This window comes from Homo sapiens, chromosome 11, assembly GCF_000001405.40.
Source record: "Homo sapiens chromosome 11, GRCh38.p14 Primary Assembly".
Taxonomy (NCBI): domain Eukaryota; kingdom Metazoa; phylum Chordata; class Mammalia; order Primates; family Hominidae; genus Homo; species Homo sapiens.
In genome coordinates this window covers 66856956-66875886 of record NC_000011.10, presented here as the reverse complement: position 1 = coordinate 66875886, position 18931 = coordinate 66856956, and the positions used below count along the sequence as shown (strand labels likewise).

General features: G+C 60.1%; 2 protein-coding genes across 14 annotated transcripts in view, besides 1 other annotated feature; one reads left to right on the top strand and one right to left on the bottom strand.

The window, feature by feature from the left end:
- The window catches only part of PC (pyruvate carboxylase), a 109964-nt gene that overhangs the window by 82497 nt on the left and 8536 nt on the right, over nt 1-18931 (top strand). For all 12 annotated transcript variants that reach the window (NM_001439353.1, NM_000920.4, NM_001040716.2 and 9 more), the window contains 9 exons: nt 3728-3863; nt 4016-4200; nt 4407-4572; nt 4690-4835; nt 4995-5112; nt 5434-5585; nt 6923-7041; nt 9538-9700; nt 11931-12113. In NM_001439353.1, coding sequence (NP_001426282.1) covers nt 3728-3863; nt 4016-4200; nt 4407-4572; nt 4690-4835; nt 4995-5112; nt 5434-5585; nt 6923-7041; nt 9538-9700; nt 11931-12113 — 1368 coding nt within the window. The remainder of the gene's footprint in view (nt 1-3727; nt 3864-4015; nt 4201-4406; nt 4573-4689; nt 4836-4994; nt 5113-5433; nt 5586-6922; nt 7042-9537; nt 9701-11930; nt 12114-18931) is intronic.
- Nucleotides 7006-7115: an enhancer, noted in NCBI's record as "active region_5058". NCBI's record gives its function as "activates an Ori minimal core promoter by ATAC-STARR-seq in GM12878 lymphoblastoid cells {active_cell/tissue: GM12878}" and the evidence as "EXISTENCE:reporter gene assay evidence [ECO:0000049][PMID:35858748]".
- LRFN4 (leucine rich repeat and fibronectin type III domain containing 4) lies at nt 15412-18823 on the bottom strand. Of its 2 annotated transcripts, NM_001363524.2 has the most exons (3): nt 18591-18823; nt 16794-18152; nt 15412-16250 (listed from the first exon to the last, which is right to left on the bottom strand). In NM_001363524.2, the coding sequence occupies exons 2-3, from the start codon at nt 18140-18142 to the stop codon at nt 15692-15694; spliced, it is 1908 nt and encodes a 635-aa protein (NP_001350453.1). In that variant the 5' UTR covers nt 18143-18152; nt 18591-18823; the 3' UTR covers nt 15412-15691. The 2 variants fall into 2 exon arrangements, with proteins under 2 accessions (NP_001350453.1, NP_076941.2); NM_024036.5 differs by having other exon boundaries at nt 16794-18823.

Sequence of the window (18931 nt, the reverse complement as noted above, 5' to 3'; positions counted from 1 at the left end):
TGCTAGTGATATTAACCTTCATCTCTCGGTCAGCGTGGTGTCCGCCAGGTTTCTCCACTGTGCAATGAATAAGGACAAGGTATATTTTAGAAAGAGGAGGAGCCCAGAGTCCAGCAAGGTTACTCTACCCACGTTCACCATAGCCGGGTGTGACCTGGGTGCCTCCTGGTCACCGCAGTGGCCCCTTCCCAGCCCCCATCTTACCCTGCCTCTGGGAGTCATGCTCTGCCCAACTCGCGCCCCATCCTCCTGAGAGCCGCTCGCTTCTGCCCAGCGACCCGTGCGTCCCTCCCTCCTCCAGGCATCCCCCCTGGGCTCCTTCTTGGCTCTTCCTCCTCGGCCAGACTCAACTCCAGTGGGCCTGAAGACGCAGGCCTGACCCACTTCTCCCAGGCTGTTCTCTCCCTGGCTTCAGACACCACCGCCCCTGTGATGCTGCCCAGGTTCTTGTCCCTGCTCTTCCCCCTCTGTGAGCTTGCCTCACTCCCAGCCCTGCCTTTTCTGTCTTGCCCTTCTTATAGCAGGAAAAGTCATCTCCACCCACCCATACAGGATTTCTTCCTCTACCTTGCTTTCTATGGGGGGTCTCTCGACGAATCTTGTCTGTCATAGCCCAGATGTTTCCTAAGCCCCACCCCGACCCCCATAGCTTCCCCCTGTCAGAGGCTCCGCGTCTCTCAGCTCAGCCTCTGAATTGCCCCAGACATGCGTCGTCTGTCAGCCCCTGCTGCTCGCCAGTCCAGAGAGATCCTTTCCACTGTGCATCGATCATGTCCCTCCTGTCCTGTCCATGGCTGAAGGGAGGCCTCAACCACTGGGCCCTGTCTGTGGCTGCAGCCCCACCTCAGGCCGTGGGCTCACACTTCCCTCTCTCAGGACAGCACCAAGCCTGTTCTTCCTGAGAACTTCACAATTGCTATCCCTTCTTCCTGGAGCTTTCTCTGCGGATCTGTGCGTGGCCGACTTCTCCCCATCCAGGTCCCAGCTTCTGTGTCCCCTCCTCAGAGAGGCCTTTTCTAATATCCAGCCCCCAAACCCCTGCACCCGCCCCAGATCATTCGCAAAATGTCACCTGTTTCTTATCTTCCAGGCACTTGTGATCTGAAATGTTCTGATTTGTGTCTTGTTTTTCTTTTCTTTGCTCCTTTCACTGCCATTCATCTTCCATGAGCAGAACCCTTCACTGTTGTGTTCTCGACTCCTAAGGCTTAGAACTGTGCCTGGCATAAGGTCTGCCCCTAGTGGGGTTTTCTGTTTTTCTCCCCTGGCTGTGGGTCTTTCCTCCTCCTCCTCTTCTCTTTCTTCTACTTATTTCCTTGTTTCTTCTCTTTTCTTTTTCTTCTGTCTTTATTTCCCCTTTTCTAGGTTGTTGGCTGTAATATGGCACTAAGGTTTTTGCAATATTTGTTTCATTTCTTGAGTATGTTTTTATGTTCCTTACTTAAAACAAAATGGCTGAGTCAAGTGTTTTAAACGTTTTCTAAGAAATGAATCAGATCGGCCGGGTGTGGTGGCTCACACCTGTAATGCTAGCACTTTGTGAGGCCGAGGCGGGTAGACCACTTGAGGTCAGGAGTTCAAGACCAGCCTGGCCAACATGGTGAAACCCCATCTTTATTTAAAATACAGCCAGGCGTGGTGGTTCACACCTGTAATCCCAGCACTTTGGGAGGCCAAGGCAGGTGGATCGCCTGAGGTCAGGAGGTCGAGGCCAGCCTGGCCAAGATGGTGAAACCCTGTCTCTACTAAAAATACAAAAATTAGCTGGGCGTGGTGGCGGGTGCCTGTAATTCCAGCTACTCGGGAGGCTGAGGCAGGAGAATCACTCGAACCCAGGAGGCGGAGGTTGCAGTGAGCCGAGATCGCACCATTGCGCTCCAGCCTGGGTGACAGAGCAAGACTCTGTCTCAAAAAAAAAAAGAAAAAAGAAAAGAAACAAAACAAAAACAAAATTAGCCAGGCATGGTGGTGCATGCCTATAATCCCAGCTACTTGGGAGGCTGAGGCAGGAGAATTGCCTGAACCTGGGAGGCAGAGGTTACAGTGAGCAGAGATCATGCCATTGCACTCCAGCCTGGGCAACAAGAGCGAGACTCCGTCTCAAAAGAAAGAAATGAATCAGATGGTTAGATGAGGCCCAGATGCAGGGGTGAAAAGAGTGTGTCTGGTTTGGCTTGGGCTCTGTGCTGGGCAGCTGTCTTTTTAGTCTCCACTGTACCTTGGTTTCCTTCATTTTACAAATGAAGGGCTGGCCAACCTCTGAAGCCTCTTTGCATTCAGGGATATAAGTTGTCGTCAGTTGATTTAAATATATATATAATATTATATAATATTATAATATTATATATAATATATATTATAATATATAATATAATATATAATATTATATAATATATATAATATTATATATTATATTATATATAATATATATTTTATATATAATATAATATATAATATATATAATATATTATATATATTTATATTATATTATATATAATATTTTATATTTTATATATAATATATTATATATAATATATATATATTTTTTAAAGATGGAGTCTTGCTGTGTCACCCAGACTGGTACAGTGGTGCCATCTCAGCTCACTGCAACCTCCACCTCCCAGGCTCAAGTGATTCTCATGCCTCACCCTCCCAAGTAGCTGGGATTACAGGCATGTGCCACCATGCCTGGCTAAGTTTTATATTTTCTGTAGAGACAGGGTTTCACCATGTTGCCCAGGTGGGTTTCAAACTCTTGAGCTCACACAAATGTGCCTTGGCCTCCCAAAGTGCTGGGTTTACAGGTGTGAGCCACCGTGCCCAACCTGAAGTATTATACTTTTTTTTTTTCCTGGGACAGAGTCTTGATGTCACCCAGGCTGAGGGCAGTGGCGCAATCTCAGCTCACTGCAACCTCTGTCTTCTAGGTTCAAGCGATTCTCGTGCCTCAGCCTCCTGAGTAGCTAGAATTACAGGCGTGTGCCACCATGCCCGGCTAATTTTTATATTTTTAGTAAGAGGCGGGGTTTCACCATGTTGGCCAGGCTGGTCTCGAACTCCTGATGTAAGGTGCTCCTCCCACTTCAGCCTCCCAAAGTGCTGGGATTACAGGCATGAGCCACCGCGCCCAACCTGATACTTTTATTTTTTTTGAGACGGAGTCTTGCCCTGTCGCCCAGGCTGGAGTACAGTGGCACGATCTCGGCTCGCTGCAAGCTCTGCCTCCTGGGTTCATGCCATTCTCCTGCCTCAGCCTCCCAAGTAGCTGGGACTACAGATGCCCGCCACCACGCCCGGCTAATTTTTTTTTTTTTGTATTTTTAGTAGAGACGGGGTTTCACCGTGTTAGCCAGGGTGGGCCAACCTGATACTTTTAAAAGTTATAGTGCATATTATGCTGGGTACGGCAGCTCACACCTGTAGTCTTAACTACTCAGGAGGCTGAGGTGGGAGGATCATTTGCGACCAGCCTAGGCAACATAGGGAGACCCTGTCTCTACAACAATAAAGTCACAGTTAGGATATCAGGCTGAGCTGGGGGTTCCATTTGGGGTTGGATTTGCTCCCTTCTCTAGAGCCAGGAAATGTTGGGCTTGGCCAGGCATCAGGAGGTAGATGGTGCTAGCCTTTCTGTGGGGCCACTGTGGGGTTGGGAAGGGCCCTCACTCATTCTGAGGAGCCTCAGTGCTGAGGCTGCGCTAACCTGGGCTCTAACTTCCCTCCCTAGATGCTGAAGTTCCGAACAGTCCATGGGGGCCTGAGGCTCCTGGGAATCCGCCGAACCTCCACCGCCCCCGCTGCCTCCCCAAATGTCCGGCGCCTGGAGTATAAGCCCATCAAGAAAGTCATGGTGGCCAACAGAGGTGAGCACCAGTGGGGCCGGTGAGAGGAGCCTCATGGCCGCCCCAGCCTTGGCATTCTTCTCCCACTCACTGCCCCAGGCCCTGGCTTCCCACTCCCCTTTCTGCTTCTCCTAGGACCTAGGAATCTAACTTCTTGTTTCTTTGCCCTCTAGGTGAGATTGCCATCCGTGTGTTCCGGGCCTGCACGGAGCTGGGCATCCGCACCGTAGCCATCTACTCTGAGCAGGACACGGGCCAGATGCACCGGCAGAAAGCAGATGAAGCCTATCTCATCGGCCGCGGCCTGGCCCCCGTGCAGGCCTACCTGCACATCCCAGACATCATCAAGGTGGCCAAGGTGAGCCCAGTGGCCTGGCTGGGCCTGGACAGCAGGGACCAGGGAGTCTTAGTTGCCGCGGGGGTCTCTTGAGGCTGGCGTGCTCAGCGCCTCTGTGCGTGGGTGGGTAAACGGATGCAGCTCAGCAGGTTAGGCAGGGGAAGAGGCTGGCCGAGGCCTTGGAAGGGACTGCAAGGTACCGTCCTCTCCCTGACCCCCACCTGCAGGAGAACAACGTAGATGCAGTGCACCCTGGCTACGGGTTCCTCTCTGAGCGAGCGGACTTCGCCCAGGCCTGCCAGGATGCAGGGGTCCGGTTTATTGGGCCAAGCCCAGAAGTGGTCCGCAAGATGGGAGACAAGGTGGAGGCCCGGGCCATCGCCATTGCTGCGGGTGAATATAACGGGCAAGCAAGGGGTGGCCCCGCAGCTCCTGGAGAGGGTCCAGCAGGGAGGGGTGGCAGGGATTCCCGCCTGTTACAGAGACTCCCCCACACCTTTCTCCCAACAGGTGTTCCCGTTGTCCCTGGCACAGATGCCCCCATCACGTCCCTGCATGAGGCCCACGAGTTCTCCAACACCTACGGCTTCCCCATCATCTTCAAGGCGGCCTATGGGGGTGGAGGGCGTGGCATGAGGGTGGTGCACAGCTACGAGGTGAGTGAAGATGCCCAGGGCTGGGAGCAGGGCAGGGCAGCCTGCCGTGGGGGCAGGGGCGGACCACTCAAGGGATCTGGAAAGTGGGTGGGGTTCATGGCAGGGGAGAGGTAGCGCTGTGGGGTCTGAGGTCTGGCTGGCCCCTGCCCGCCCTCGCAGGAGCTGGAGGAGAATTACACCCGGGCCTACTCAGAGGCTCTGGCCGCCTTTGGGAATGGGGCGCTGTTTGTGGAGAAGTTCATCGAGAAGCCACGGCACATCGAGGTGCAGATCTTGGGTGAGTGGTCCTGACGCCCCGCCTGGGGCAGCTGGAGGCGGGAGCTGAGAGGCCCAGTCCTGGTGCCGTCACAGTGGCTGGCCTTGGGGACAGCCCTGGGGCCTGTCGGGCGCTTTTCCAGAGGACTCTGGAAAGTGGGCTCTAGGGGCCGAGCTGGCAGTTGGTCCTCACAGCCTTGGTGATGCTGGTGTCTCTCCTGGCAGCCTCTGTACCGCTGGCAGCCGGCACTGACTGGCGACAGTGGTTATGTGGGGGTGATGGGGCATTTAGGAGGCGTGTAGATTCCAGTAAAAGCTAAGCCCAGTTTACCTCCCTCCCCAGGGGACCAGTATGGGAACATCCTGCACCTGTACGAGCGAGACTGCTCCATCCAGCGGCGGCACCAGAAGGTGGTCGAGATTGCCCCCGCCGCCCACCTGGACCCGCAGCTTCGGACTCGGCTCACCAGCGACTCTGTGAAACTCGCTAAACAGGTGAAGGGTGGGCTTCCCGTGTTGGGACAGGAGCCTGTGCTCACAGGCCGGCAGGCCTCACAGTGGGGCGCTGGTTGGGGAAGGGGACCCTGAGTCCCCTTCTGGGGACTGGGGATGGGGAGAAGAGGGTGAAGGACTCTCCTGGGGGCCAGAAGTGGGTTTGTGGCATCCTTCCCATGTGCAGTTGAGGCACCTGGCCCAGAGGCCAAGCTTAGAGTCCAGGATGGCTGAGAAGAGGGAGGGAAGGAGCCCCAGCCGCCTCCTCAGCCCTGCTGCTACACAGACCTGGCTTCTCTGTGGCATCAGCTCATCCCTGTCATCAGGAGAATGAGATTCCGTGGATTCTGTCAAGATTGAGGACCATTATGAAGGCAGTCCTCCCTCATGTGCTTCTGTCTCCTACATCATGTTTATTATGATCTGTTTCCTTGCTCTGCACCCTCTGCCCATCTCTGCTTTTCTGGGACCTCTGGTCGGGGGGTCCTGGGCTGTGGAGGAGGCTGAGGTGGCAAGCTATCTCCCCACAGTGACCTGCCCCAGGACTGGCCTGGAGAGCACCTGCTGTGGCCAGGTGTGCAGCGGGGTCCTGCCCCCTCTTCTTCCCTGGCCTATAGGCAGCAGAGGATGCGTCACCTCCCCATGCCGAAGGCCGGGGTGTGCACTCTGCAGCAAGGCCTCAGCCACAGCTAATGCGAGGCATCGACCAGGGTCGCGTTTAAGTCAGGTCTTATTTACTGGCTTATACTATTTCACATTCCAGAACAGGTTTAAGGGAGGTGATTCAGTCTGGTTTATCGTTTTGGTGAGACCAAAAGTGAAACTGGAATTAGGGCTGAAATTTGAGTTAGAGTCATTATCTGTTGGTACCTCTCAAATGAATTTCTTTGGGTGGTGGTGGCCAGAGGTGACTGCGCAGTAGACTAGAAGGGGACTTTCTGAAAACACCTCCAAGCAGAAGCAGCGGCTGGGAGAGGCCTGGGTCTCCGTGTCTGGGTGGATGACACAGCCTTGGCGGGCAAGCCCAGGAGGCAGCAGGGCAAGGTGCCGAGCCTGGGATGGGTGGGGGCTTCTGCCCATGTCTCGTCCCAGATAAGCTGGGTGCAGCCATCTGTGGCTCCGGGAACCCTGGAGCCTAGTGGACTACTTGGGGGACGTGTCCAGGCAGGAGCATGACCTGGGCCCTGGGGTCTGTCTGCCATCTGTGGGGGCAGGGTTTGCCACAGGCCATTCTTTTACGGAACCAACCCAATGGGTGGGACGGAATCCCTGTCCTGAGTCCAGTGAGTTTGCCCAGGCCCTGCCTGTGCCCTCCCCTGCTCACGTGGCCGCCCCCACAGGTGGGCTACGAGAACGCAGGCACCGTGGAGTTCCTGGTGGACAGGCACGGCAAGCACTACTTCATCGAGGTCAACTCCCGCCTGCAGGTGGAGCACACGGTCACAGAGGAGATCACCGAGTGAGTGTGGGCGGGCAGGCGGGGCGGGAGGCGCGGCTTCTAGGATTTGCATAAAGTACAGGCGAAGTGGCTCCTGGGGCCAGCCAGGGGGCTTGCTCACTCCCCACATTGGTGGAGAGCAATGGGGATCCAGGTACTTAGTGTTTTAAAAGTCATTATTCTAAAAGCATTACGTGGTTATTATAAAAATCAGCACAAAGGAGCAAATAAAAATGACTGACAGCCCTCCTCTCTGTCAGGACGCTGCCGATTGCTCAGGCCCAGGTGCTCCCATCTGTCAGAGGAGTAAAGCAAGGCTCAGAGACATTTGGAGAGTTGCTCGGGGTCACACAGCTGGCGCTGGAACCCAGGCATCTCCGGCTGTCTTTGGTTTGCTCCTTTCCCGGTTTACCTGTTTTACTAGAGACATAGTTTGATGCAATAGAGATGTTTTATATAGAATTTTTATTCTACTTTTCAAATTATTTAATATTTGTTGAAGGCATTTCCCCAGGCCATAATTCTGTCTGAATACTTTTAGTGGCTGCGTACTATTCCGTCTTGTGTGTATTTCTTAACTTACATAGTCCTCGATTGTTAGGCAATTAGTTTGTGTGTCTGGCTTTGGTGGTTATTAAGCGTGTCACTTATCATCTGTGTGCCTGAATGTTTGGCTTCAGCTCTGAAGAGTTCTGAGGGTAAACCCTTCAACAGGATTATCTGATTGAAGGATAAGTAGCATCCCTCGGAACAGCCCTCTAGAGAGGTGGCACTAGCGTGCTCCCTGCAGGCACTGAGGATGACATTTTCAAAATCCGCCTGGTTTCTAAATGACAGTCATGATGGCCCTCACCCTTCAAGGTCTCTACTATGAGCCATGTAATTTCTTGACGCTGCTTTGGGCCAGCCCATCTCACTGTGGAGCATCCCTGACCCCAGTTCTGCCCCCAGCCCCAACCCCACCTGAGACTGAGGATGCTGTCGGGGTGGCTGCTGTGGCTCGCCGGGGGCATGGAGGCCCCTCCCTCCCCTTAGGAGAAGCTTAGAGACAAGGCCAACACTTTGGCCGAGTGAGACTCTTCCCCTCAAGCTGCTGTGAACTCCTCGGTCTTGGGTCTGCTTAGAGCGTCCTGTTAGGGATGGGAGTCTGTCTGCTGTGGAGCACGGGTTTTGTGTCAGACAGATTGGGGCTCAGGTGCTCTCAGGTCCCAAGCCACGTGGAGCCTGGGTGAGCTCCAACCTCTCTGACCCTCGAGCTCCTCCTCTGGTGGGAATGACAGGGCTCTCAGCACACCGTCGTGGAGATGAAGCATGGGAGGAGTGCAGCCTGGCCTGTGGCACTGAGTGGAAGCTGTCATCTCTGCTGCGAAGTGGGCCAGCAGGCAGCAAGAACACGGGGAAATCCTGCCAGTGTAGGTTCCAGGCTGCCTTCACCACAAGCCTCAGTGGCAATACATGTAAAACCTTGAGTGGTTTTTTTTAAGACATAGTCTTGCTCTGTCACCCAGGCTGGAGTGCAGTGGTGCAATCTTTGCTCACTGCAACTTCTGCCTCCCGGGTTCAAGTGATTCTCCTGCCTCAGCCTCCTGAGTAGCTGGGATTACAGGCACACACTACCAGGCCTGGCTAATTTTTGTATTTTTAGTAGAGACAGGGTTTCACCATGTTGGCCAGGCTAGTCTCGAACTCCTGGCCTCGTGGGATTCACCCACTTTGGCCTCCCAAAGTGCTGGGATTACAGGCATGACCTGCTGTGCCCAGCCTGGTTTTTTTGTTTGTTTGTTTTGTTTTTTAAACAGCTGTTCCACTTGGACTTGTGACTGCCCTTAGGAGCAGTAAGGCTGAGCTTGGAAAACCCTGCAGAGGTGGGGAAGCTTGCACTCTCCAAGCATCTCTAGGGGGTTTTGGGCACAAGTCCAGCAGGAAAACAGGCCTCAGAAGGACAGGTCCTGACCCAGCACCCACTGTGCAACCCTCTCACAGCTGTGGTTACCATTTCGAGGAGCCCAGCCTTCACAGCACCTGTTCCCTTGCACACTGCCCCCCTCACAACCACCCACACAGCATAGCACATATGGCCCCAAGAATGTGCTATCCTGGCCCTCTGACCTAGAGATCTGCTGAGGCTTCAAATCTAGGCTTTACCAAGGGGGAGTTTAGGGGAGTGGGGAAAACAGACCTCAAGGAAGGAGGAGGCAGAGTACAGGGAGGAGCAGCTTAGGGCTGTGTGGACGGCACCGTGAGTCAGGAATGCAGGAGCAGGTGGTCCTGGTATTTCAGCGGGCCATCTCCAGCTGCCAGGCACTGTGTAGTTTAGTCGGCTCCCGGCGGGAGCAGGGCAGGGGCTGGTGGAGCCACTGGTTGGGAGGAACCGGCTGTTCAGGCTGGCCCAGAGCCTATGGGCAGGAGTCGCACTGTGTGTGGACGCCCCACTGGCTGCGGTGCCCCTCGTCTATCCCCCGCCTCATGTTTCCCCCTTTCTCCCGTCCTTTCCCCCCTCCCCCCAATGCCCTACAGCGTAGACCTGGTCCATGCTCAGATCCACGTGGCTGAGGGCAGGAGCCTACCCGACCTGGGCCTGCGGCAGGAGAACATCCGCATCAACGGGTGTGCCATCCAGTGCCGGGTCACCACCGAGGACCCCGCGCGCAGCTTCCAGCCGGACACCGGCCGCATTGAGGTGGGCGGAGCTCGAGCAGAGGGAGATGCCAGCTCACCTGTGCACAGGTTCTGCCTGGTGCCTGGGGCTGCAGTGCCAAGTTGCCACAGCCCGGCAGTTAGGGAGGACCCGCATGTGGGCTCTGAAGTGGACATAGAGTACACGGAGGCAGGCAGTGCCCAGAGGAGGGGCGGCGCCTCCCAGGGGAAGAGACTGCTGGGCGCCCAGGTCAGGAGGAAGCCGTGAGGGTGGGAGCGGGGAGCAGGCTGGCTTGGTGGAGCAAAACGCAGGGACCCAGACACAAAGCCAGCCCCTGACCCTCCAGCTCCCACAGGAGCCCCACGCCTGGCTGCCGACGGAGCCCAAGCACCACCTCCCATCTGAGGGATGGGCTGACATGGCAGGACCTGGGGGTGGGGGTGGCAAAGGACTGGGCCCAGAGGTCCCAATGGAGTCTGAGCCAAGCTCAGGGGCCCATCAAGGATGGGGGAGGGAGTCGGAGATGGCGGCACAGGAGGGAGACCGAGAGGTAGATTCGGGGCCGCGAGATGGCAGCCTTGGTGGGGGAGAGAGTGGTGTAGGGGGCGCTGAGGCGGTCCACGGCAGGCTCCTCAGCACAGCAAGACTCGCGCCTTCTCCAGGAGGGCTCCCTGTACCTTTCTTCCTCTCAGCACCGGGACCCAGTCATTGGCCTCCGAAACCCATCTCCCCCGCCTCTGGTCCCAGCTGTGGGCAGGAGCCCTGCGGCCTGCTCGGTGCCTGTTCCCAGCCCTGCACGTGCTGCCAGCACCGTGCCAGCTGTGCTAGGGACTTGCTCCCTATCCAGGGGCCTGAGCCCCAAAGGAGGCAAGACATTGATGGAGCTCCAGCTTTGCTCCAGAGTCCAAGGCAGAGGCCCCCGGGCTTGTGTGGGGCGGTGAGGGGAGCAAACATGAGTTTGGGCCAGGCTCTGGGCTTCTGAGACAAGGGAGGCTGGGGAGGCTGGGGGTAGGGACCAGAGCTCTCTGGATTCTGGAAGCAGCAGAGCCTGTGGCTTCAGCAGGGAGCTGGCCACCTGCCTTCTGTTTCTGGAAGAGTCTGTAGGTGGCGGCAGCCCCAGGCTGAGTGCTGCCCGGCGGCCCCTGACTTCTCTGCCTCCCTCCATCCCCACTTCCAAGCCCTGGCTCTTCAGAGCCTGCCTCATCACAGAGTATTTTTAGCCGACAGTTTCTGCTCTCAGCTGAGTGTTCACCCTTAAATATTTTATGAAGTTCCTTTTTATTGAACACAGGCCTCTGCCCCCGAGAAGCGGAAATGGGCAGTGGGTGTCCCGAGCCCCTCTGGGCGGTCCCCCCACTCCCCTTCTTCCTTACCTGGGCCTGACGGGTCCCCCACCTCCGGGGAGCCCTTCTCTGCGGGGCTCACTCGGGCGGCACGAACAGGTGCAGGCGGCACGAGCCACCTGTGTGTGTGAGTGTCGGCGCCTCTGTCTCCTCCTCTCCGCTGCCCCTCCCATTGCCGTCTGGCCCTGGCCCTGTCCCGCTGCCCCGCTGCCCTCTCCTCGCCCTTGGTTTGCTTCCCTGATGGGTGTGGACCCTGCCTCTGGCACTTTCCCTTCATTTCCTCTCCCACTTCCTCCTCGTTGCCTCCTCTCCCTCCCATCCTCCCTTCTGGAAGGAAAGGAAAGGAAAGGAAGGGAGCATGGGTGGATGTTGAGGCCTTCCCCACCACCCTGTTAAAAACAAAAACAAACCCCCGGTCAGCCTTGCCTCTTGCCTCGCACATGGTCCTTTGGAGGCCCTGTCGCCGGCCTGCCGTCCCCTCGCTGTCTGGGAGCCCACGGCGAGGCCCTTTAGCGGCCGGGTCAGCAGACCTCAATCCGTGCTGTGGAACGAACGTGGATGAGTCTGAAAGGCTAGAGGGTTGCTCAGGCAGGTGCAGCAGGTCCGTGGGAATAGAGGCAGGGCTGGCCCCTGCCTGCCCGGGCCCCTCTCCCGCTCTGCGGCAGGCATTCCCTTCCTCCTCTGCCCCCTCCCAGCTCCTCACAGGGAGCCAGTAGCAGTGACTGCGTGGCACGTAGAGAAGGGACGCACTCCTGGGTTTGGTGGCAGAAACAGCAAAACCTGACCAGCCAGAGCTGGGATTCACCTGCAGACACCCCACGCTCTGCTCTCAGCAGCTGCTGGGTGCACACCTGGCCAGCCTCGGGGTGGGTGGGGCACTTTTGACCGCAGTTTCTGGCGCAGGTCCTCACGCCTCACCCTTCCCACAGGTGTTCCGGAGCGGAGAGGGCATGGGCATCCGCCTGGATAATGCTTCCGCCTTCCAAGGAGCCGTCATCTCGCCCCACTACGACTCCCTGCTGGTCAAAGTCATTGCCCACGGCAAAGACCACCCCACGGCCGCCACCAAGATGAGCAGGGCCCTTGCGGAGTTCCGCGTCCGAGGTGTGAAGGTGAGAGGCTGCAGCCCCCGCCTGCCTTTGCTCCCGGCCCTTGGAGGGCCCCCTGACCGTTCACTTCCCCACCAAGGGCCTTGCACATGGCTTCACCTCAGCCTTGCCCCTGACTGATGGGTCGAGGTCAGTGGCTCTCCTTGGCTGCAGCTGCACGCCAGACTCCAGCTGTTTTCAGAGTCTGCAGGCGCCTGGGCAACCCGCTGCCAGAGTCCCTGGCAGTGGCCTGGCCGGAGCTCGTCCTCACATGCCTCCTGTCTAGTCTTGTTCCGGGGAGACCCACGCTGTGTCCCGCCCCTCTGGGGTGAGAATCACCTGGAATGTGTGTTAAATATCATCAGGCTTCCCTTCTGGAAATCCTGATCCCACAGGTTTGGGTAGAGGCGCCAGAACCTGTGTTTTGAACAAGTTCTCCAGATAATTCTTTTTTATTTTTGAAGTGGAATCTTGCTGTCGCCCAGGCTGGAGTGCAGTGGCGCGATCTCGGCTCACTGCAAGCTCTGCCTCCTGGGTTCAAGCGATTCTCCTGCCTCAGCCTCCCGAGTAGCTGGGACTACAGGTGCCCCCCACCACGCCCGGCTAATTTTTGTATTTTTAGTAGACGGGGTTTTATCACATTGGCCAGGCTGGTCTCAAACTCCTGACCTCAGGTGTTCCACCCGCCTTGACCTCCCAAAATGCTGAGATTACAGGTGTGAGCCACCGTGCCTGGCCTCCCAGATAATTCTTAATTTCTGGAAAATGTGGATCCCCCCCCACCAGGCAAGAGCCCAAGTCATGTAGATGCGGTCACTTTGCACAGTGTCAGGCCCCCGCCAGCCCCCTGCTCTCCTCACCTGGCCTGGTGCACACAGTGTCAGGTGCTTCAGGAGCAGCCGAGGGTGGGGGCGCAGCAGAGACATGAGCAGGAGGCTTGGGAGGCAACCTGCCCTTGGTGGGCTGGCAGCTCGGCTTGTCTTTGGGTGGCCTTGGTGGGTGCCCTGCCTGGCATGAGGACTCTAAATGGGTATTTAGGATCTAAAGAGCCCTTTGCTGGGCTCTGTTACTGGCGTCTGTAGCTAGAGAGGAATCCACAGCCAGGAAATGCCGCCTCGGCCTTTGAAGCCAGCACGTGTCCCGTGGGAGCCACCCTCAGAATGGCAAGAAGAGCCGGAGGACAGGGGCTTTGGCCCTCAGCCCCTGTGGGAGTTACCACCCCATCTTCTTCTTGGGGGTCCCCACAGGGCGGGCTGTGCTGGGCACTGGCACCGGCCCCTCTGCCTTGGCCTCGTGTCCTCCTTGCAGCTTCTTCCAGCCCTGCCTGTCATCGAGGCGCAGTTGCTTGGGGGATGGGGGGGCATGTGGGCCGTGCTGTCCCCTCAGGGTCCTGCAATCACTTCTCACATGTCCACATGGCTGCTTGGTCGCAAGAGCCCCTGGAGGCTTCTGGGCCTATGCCTGTGTGTGTGGCCAGCCTGTCTCCCACCTTAAGAGGGAACAGCGCACTTCCTAGAGGCCAGGGGGTGTTACTCTTCCGTGGGGAGCCTCTCAGCCTCCCTGTTGGGGGTCCCTGTCGTGCACATAGGCAGAGGTGTGTCGCGACATCAGCTGTCGACATCACGCGCTCCCCCTGCACCTTGCTGCGGCTCCTGGTGTCCTGGCGGGGATGTCCTGCGGCTGCTTCGGTGTTGAGGGGATGCGTGGCCATGCACAGGGGTGACCCAGGCCATCCCCCTCGCCTGCCCCTGCCCGTTGCTCTGTGGTCCTGGCTGGCTCCTGGGGTTGTGCCCGGTTCCTCTGCTCCCTCCTCACCCTCAGCAGCTCCCCACGTGCCAAGCTGGTCCCTGGGCCCTAGAACCTTGCGCCTGCTAGGGGTGCAGCTAGAGGTGGGCTTCTGCACCCTGGAGGGCCCGGAAAGATCTTCCTCTTTAGACCGTCCCCCGCCCCCCAGGTGGAGAAAGGGGCACTAGAGACCGTGACCACGGGGCCAGCAGCAGGATAAGTGTCTCTGGTGTCTGGGGGTGCCAAGTCCTCCCCAAATGTGCACCAAGACCAGGCCGCTGGCTCTAGCCGCCTCCTGAGCCTCATGCTAGCGCCCAGCGTGGCAGCCCTGGCCCTCCTGTCCCTTTGCCGTCTGTGCCCACCCACCCTGTCCCGCGCCCCCGCCCACTCCTCCATGGCGTTCGCTCCCCACACCCTTCTCTGTCGAGGACCTTGCTCCCATTCATCTAAACCAGGCTCTCGAAGCCCACCTCTAGCTGCATGTTCTGGGGCTGGGAGGGCAGGCACACGCGTGTGAGCCAGGTCCATGCACACGTGAACACACGTATGCCTTAGAGCACCTGCCTCACCTCGGCTGCCCGGTGGCAGCGCCTTGGCCCTCACACAGAAAACACCAGGGAGTCTGTGCAGCGTGTTTGCCGTGGCCTGGGGTGCCAGGGCCGCCTTCTGAGTTTTCATACAGCACCTGGGGGAGCTTGACCCTCTGCAGGGCTGAGGGCCACGTCTGCCCATGCCCCCCAGCCAGTGCCTAGAAGCAGATAGTTCAGGAGGCTGCAGGGGCTGGGCCAGGTCGGAGGCTGCCCGGGCCTGGCCAGGGGTCCTAGCAGAGAAAGCAGGGCTCGTGCCCATCCGGCTGCCTCCCTGCAGCGAGGGAGGGCGAAGGCCGCCTTCCCAGGAAGGCCCAGAGCACATCTGAGCTGGCAGCTGCGGTCCTGCTCGGACCCACAGTTCTGACAGGAACCTTCCAGAGGATCACGGGCTGATGGCAGAGCAGTGGGGTTCCCTGCCCTTCCAGTCCCTTTGGGATGGCGTTTTACCAGTCCACAAGATGCCCTGGGAGGTGGCAGACACAGCTGTCAGCACCTGGAGCCATGAGGACTTTTCACTGTACGCTCAGCCCAGGTCCGTTCTCCCAGAGGGCTGTACCGTCCCCCACCTCCTCCTGTTGCTTAGTCCAGTCCTGTGTCCGCCCCGCAGACCCTGAAGTGCCATGGGGAAGGCGCTCACACGTGCTCCCCAGGCTTTACACTGGATACGGCGTCCTGTCGCCACCTGGCAGGAAGGGGCGTTCTTTGCACTTACAGGCGAGGGTAGGCCGCCTGCCCAAGCCCATGCTCTTGCAGGTCAGAAGACACCAGGCACAGCCCTTGGCCGCAGCCCTGGGCCGCCCCTGTGGACAGGAAGCCAGGAGGCCCCAGGCTGCTGTGACTGCCCCCACCGGCCCTGGTAGCCCCACCCTTGTCCGTGTGCCACCAGCGGCCCGTGTCCTGTCCTCCCGTCTCGGGGGACCTAGCCAGACAACACCAGAGACTAGCACTGAGGTGTCCCCAACAATTTTATTATAAATAAAAACAAGACTCCCAGTGGGTGGCTGCAGCCCCTGCCTCGGTGGCTGTGAGCACCTGTTGGAGGGGCCTGCCCTTACCCTGGTCTGGAGGCCAGAACCGAGGAAAGGGCTCCCTGCCCCTCCAAGTACACAGGGGAGCCTGAGGTACTGAGAATAAAAACCAGGGAGGGACTCCCAGGCCAGGCGGCGGCCCCGGGCCCTCTGCCCCACGAGGCTCATCCCTTGGAGCACACAGGAAGCTGCCCGTCCATCACACCACACTCTCTTCCAGCCGCTCGGCGCTGCCTCCTACCCCCCGGCACCCTGCCCCGAGCAGCCCCCCATGCACAGAGTGGCTCCGTCGGGCCCAAGCTCCTCCCAGGCGCCTGGCATAACCGTAGCACCCGGCATCTCCCAGGTCCAGAGAGCAGCTGCGCTGCGGCCGGGGCGGGGGGCTCCGCGGCGGGTGGGCCTTGGGTGTGGGGCTGGGGCCTCCATTGGTCTGGGACTGGACGTGGCTGAGCTTGAGGGGGAGGCGGCCATTTCCGGCCCCCCGGCCCCGAACCAGCAAGGCCACAGTGAAGACCAGTAAGGCAGCCACCAGCACACCCCCCACGGCCACGGTCAGGGTCCCGCCCAGCACGTGGGCCTGCAGGGCGTGGCACAGGGGCGAGGCCGGCAGCGTGGAGAAATGGGCACAGCCCAGCAGCCTGGTGGCCGTGAGGTCAGAGGGCCCAGCGGCCGGTGACAAGGCCAGCAGGCAGAGGTCATAGTCAGCGCCGGGGACGAGGTGCTTCAGCAGGAAGTGGTGGCTGGAGGCTGGGACAATCCTGCAGGCAAGGGCAGGTGGTCAGAGCCCGGGGCTGGGGTCTAGCCCCATCCTCACCTCCCCACTCCCGTGCTCCCAGCTCCAAACACCCCTCCCCCTGGGGCCACTCGGGCTCTTGGGTTCACTCAGGAAGGTGAACAGGCTGGAGAGTGTGGCCAGGAGATGGGTGTGTGCACTGGCACAGGACGCAGGCAAGCGAGGGGAATGGGGTGGGGGGATGGCACCAGCAGAGGCAGAAATAACACGCGGGCGCGGGCCATGTGCTTCAGACAGACCCAACCGCCACCTGCTGCCGGGGAGGCCTGCACAGCTCAGTGACACCTGGGACATCTCGGGGTGGGGTCCTTCTGCCGCCCCTTGAGCTCCAGCCCCCTCAGGCAGCCAGGCCAGGCCAGGCCACTGCTCCTCCAAGAGTCCAGCAGCCATGGTCGGGGAGGGGGTGTCAGCCCCAGAGAGAGGAGGGGTGGAAGCAAAGCCTTGTGGGGAGCAGAGGGCGGAGGAAGGGCGCCGGGAGTGCAGCCGGGTGTGGGGCACGCATCCTCACCGGTAGATGAGGGTCTCATCTTCGCTGCTGTTGTACTGGATTTGGAACATCCACACTGGGTCGGCTGGCCGCCCGGGACCCCAGCTCACCAGCCCTGAGGTGGCGGTCACCTCCGTCACCTGCACGGCTGGCTCAGACTCCAGCGTCCCCTCACCCTCGGCAGCAGTGCGAGCGGAGGCGGCGATGTCCGAGGGCCCGGGGCGGCCCCCCTCGGCACTGCTGTTCCCACCATGGGGCAAGGCCAGCACCCGCAGTTCTACTCGGGCTGTGGCCTCACCAGCAGGGTTGGTGGCGATGCAGGTGTAGCCCCCAGCGTCCCCAGCGCCGGTCACCCCAATCTCTAAGGTCCCGTTGGGGAAAGCCCGGGCTCGGGAGGAGTTGCCAACCAACCGGTCGTCAGGACCGACCCAGTGCATGGTAGGCGCGGGGTCACCCAGGGCCCGGCACCGCAGCGTGGCCCGCTGGCCTTCCAGCACCCAGAGGCGCTGCGTGTGGCGGGCAATGAGGGGCGGCTCACAGGAGAACTCGCCCTCGGGCACTGCCCAGAAGTAGCGGCCGGCCAGGCCGGGCGGGGAGGCGCACGTTTCCAGGTCGTCCGGCCGCGCCAGCCGCCGCAGCCACAGCAGCTCACAGTTGCAGTGCAGGGGGTTCCCGCTAAAGCTCAGCACCAGGGGGGCGGGAGAGGCCTCTGCATCACGCCCACGAGAGAAAAGCGGGTCCGGAGCCAGCGTGGCCAGGCGGTTGGAGGTGAGGTCCAGGCGGGAGAGCTGACCGAGCTGGGCGAAGGCGCCTGGGGGCAGTGCGTCAATAAGGTTATGGTCCAGGTTGAGGGTGTGCAGGGCAGGCATGGCGCCGATGCCGGCCCAGGGCACCTGCCGGAGGTTGTTGTAGGACAGGTCCAGGTCCTCCAGGCTCTCTAGGAAGTCGTCGAAGGCTCCCGGCGCGATGCGGCCCAGCTGGTTGCCGCTGAGGATGAGGTGCTGCAGATTGACGGGGCCCCGGAGGCTCCCGGTGCCCAGCTCCACCAGCCTGTTGCCGTCAAGGTGGAGGGAACGCAGGCTCTCGAGGTCCCCAAAGGCGCGGGCCCCAATGCGGGTGATGGCATTGCGAGACAGTGTCAGGTCCACCAGTCCCGTCATGTTGCGGAAGTCAGGGGGCCCCAGGGCCTGGATGAAGTTGTCAGCCAGCCGCAGCTCCACTGTGCGCCGGTCCACGTTGGGCGGCACAAACAGCAGGCCTCGGTGGGCACAGAGGGTGCTGAGCGACTCGGACAGGTTCTGGCAGACGCAGGGCAGCGGGCAGGCGGCCGCTCCACTGGCCAGCAGCAGCAGCAGGAGCGGCGGGGCCATGGTGAGCGCCCTGTAGGAAGGGGCCACAGCCCAGGCACAGGTGGGGCTGGCGCAGGTGCCCACTTGGGCCCAGGACAGTCCCAGAAGCCAGCTTCTGTGAGCCTGGCCCGGGGAGGGGCTGGGTCAGAGGCCCAAGAGGGCCGCCAGAGATGAGGGAAGGTTGGGGCCTGCAGGGCCAGGCCCCCCAGAGCAAAGGTCACATTTCCCAAGCAGTTAAGGGGGAGTCCAGGCGCTGGGGACAAGGTGAGGCATGAGGCAGGAAGCGGAGGAGGACCGAGAGCAGGGAGGGTCCCGGAACTTCCTTTCCCAGGCGTCCCCAGGAATCGCCAGCCGCCTCCCCACTCCCCGCCATACCCTCCCCCGCCAGAGAAGGCGCCCCCCGAACCTCCCGTGGAGTCCGTGGCCCCTCCCTGGCCGGCCCCCGCGCTGCGCCCGGCGGCCCCCTCACCTGGTGTCCGTCGCTCAGGGGGCGCGGGCCGGCCTCCCTGCGAGCCCGGCCGGCCCCCGCCGACTCCTGGCCGCTCTCCCGCGGGGACGAGGCCCGGGGATGACCGGCCGCCCGCCGCCCACCCTCGGGCCCATGGCGCTCGGGCCCGCGGCCCCGGCTCGCTCGGTTCCCGGCACCTTTTCCCGGCGCGGTTAGCGGTGGCGGCGGCGACAGGCGAGCGGGTGCGCGCCGGCGGGCGCGCGCGCCGCGGACACGCACGTGGAGGGCGGACGGGGAGGGGCGCGCGGGGATCCACCCGGGCCCGGGCCGGCTCCTGAGGTCACGGGGACACGCGGCCGCTG

Excerpts from the sequence above, each read along its gene's own strand:
- LRFN4 (NM_024036.5), bottom strand. The coding sequence starts at position 18,142 with ATGGCCCCGCCGCTCCTGCTGCTGCTGCTGGCCAGTGGAGCGGCCGCC. Across the intron at positions 16,251-16,793 it reads GATGAGACCCTCATCTACCG|GATTGTCCCAGCCTCCAGCC; the intron begins GTGAGGATGCGT and ends CCTTGCCTGCAG.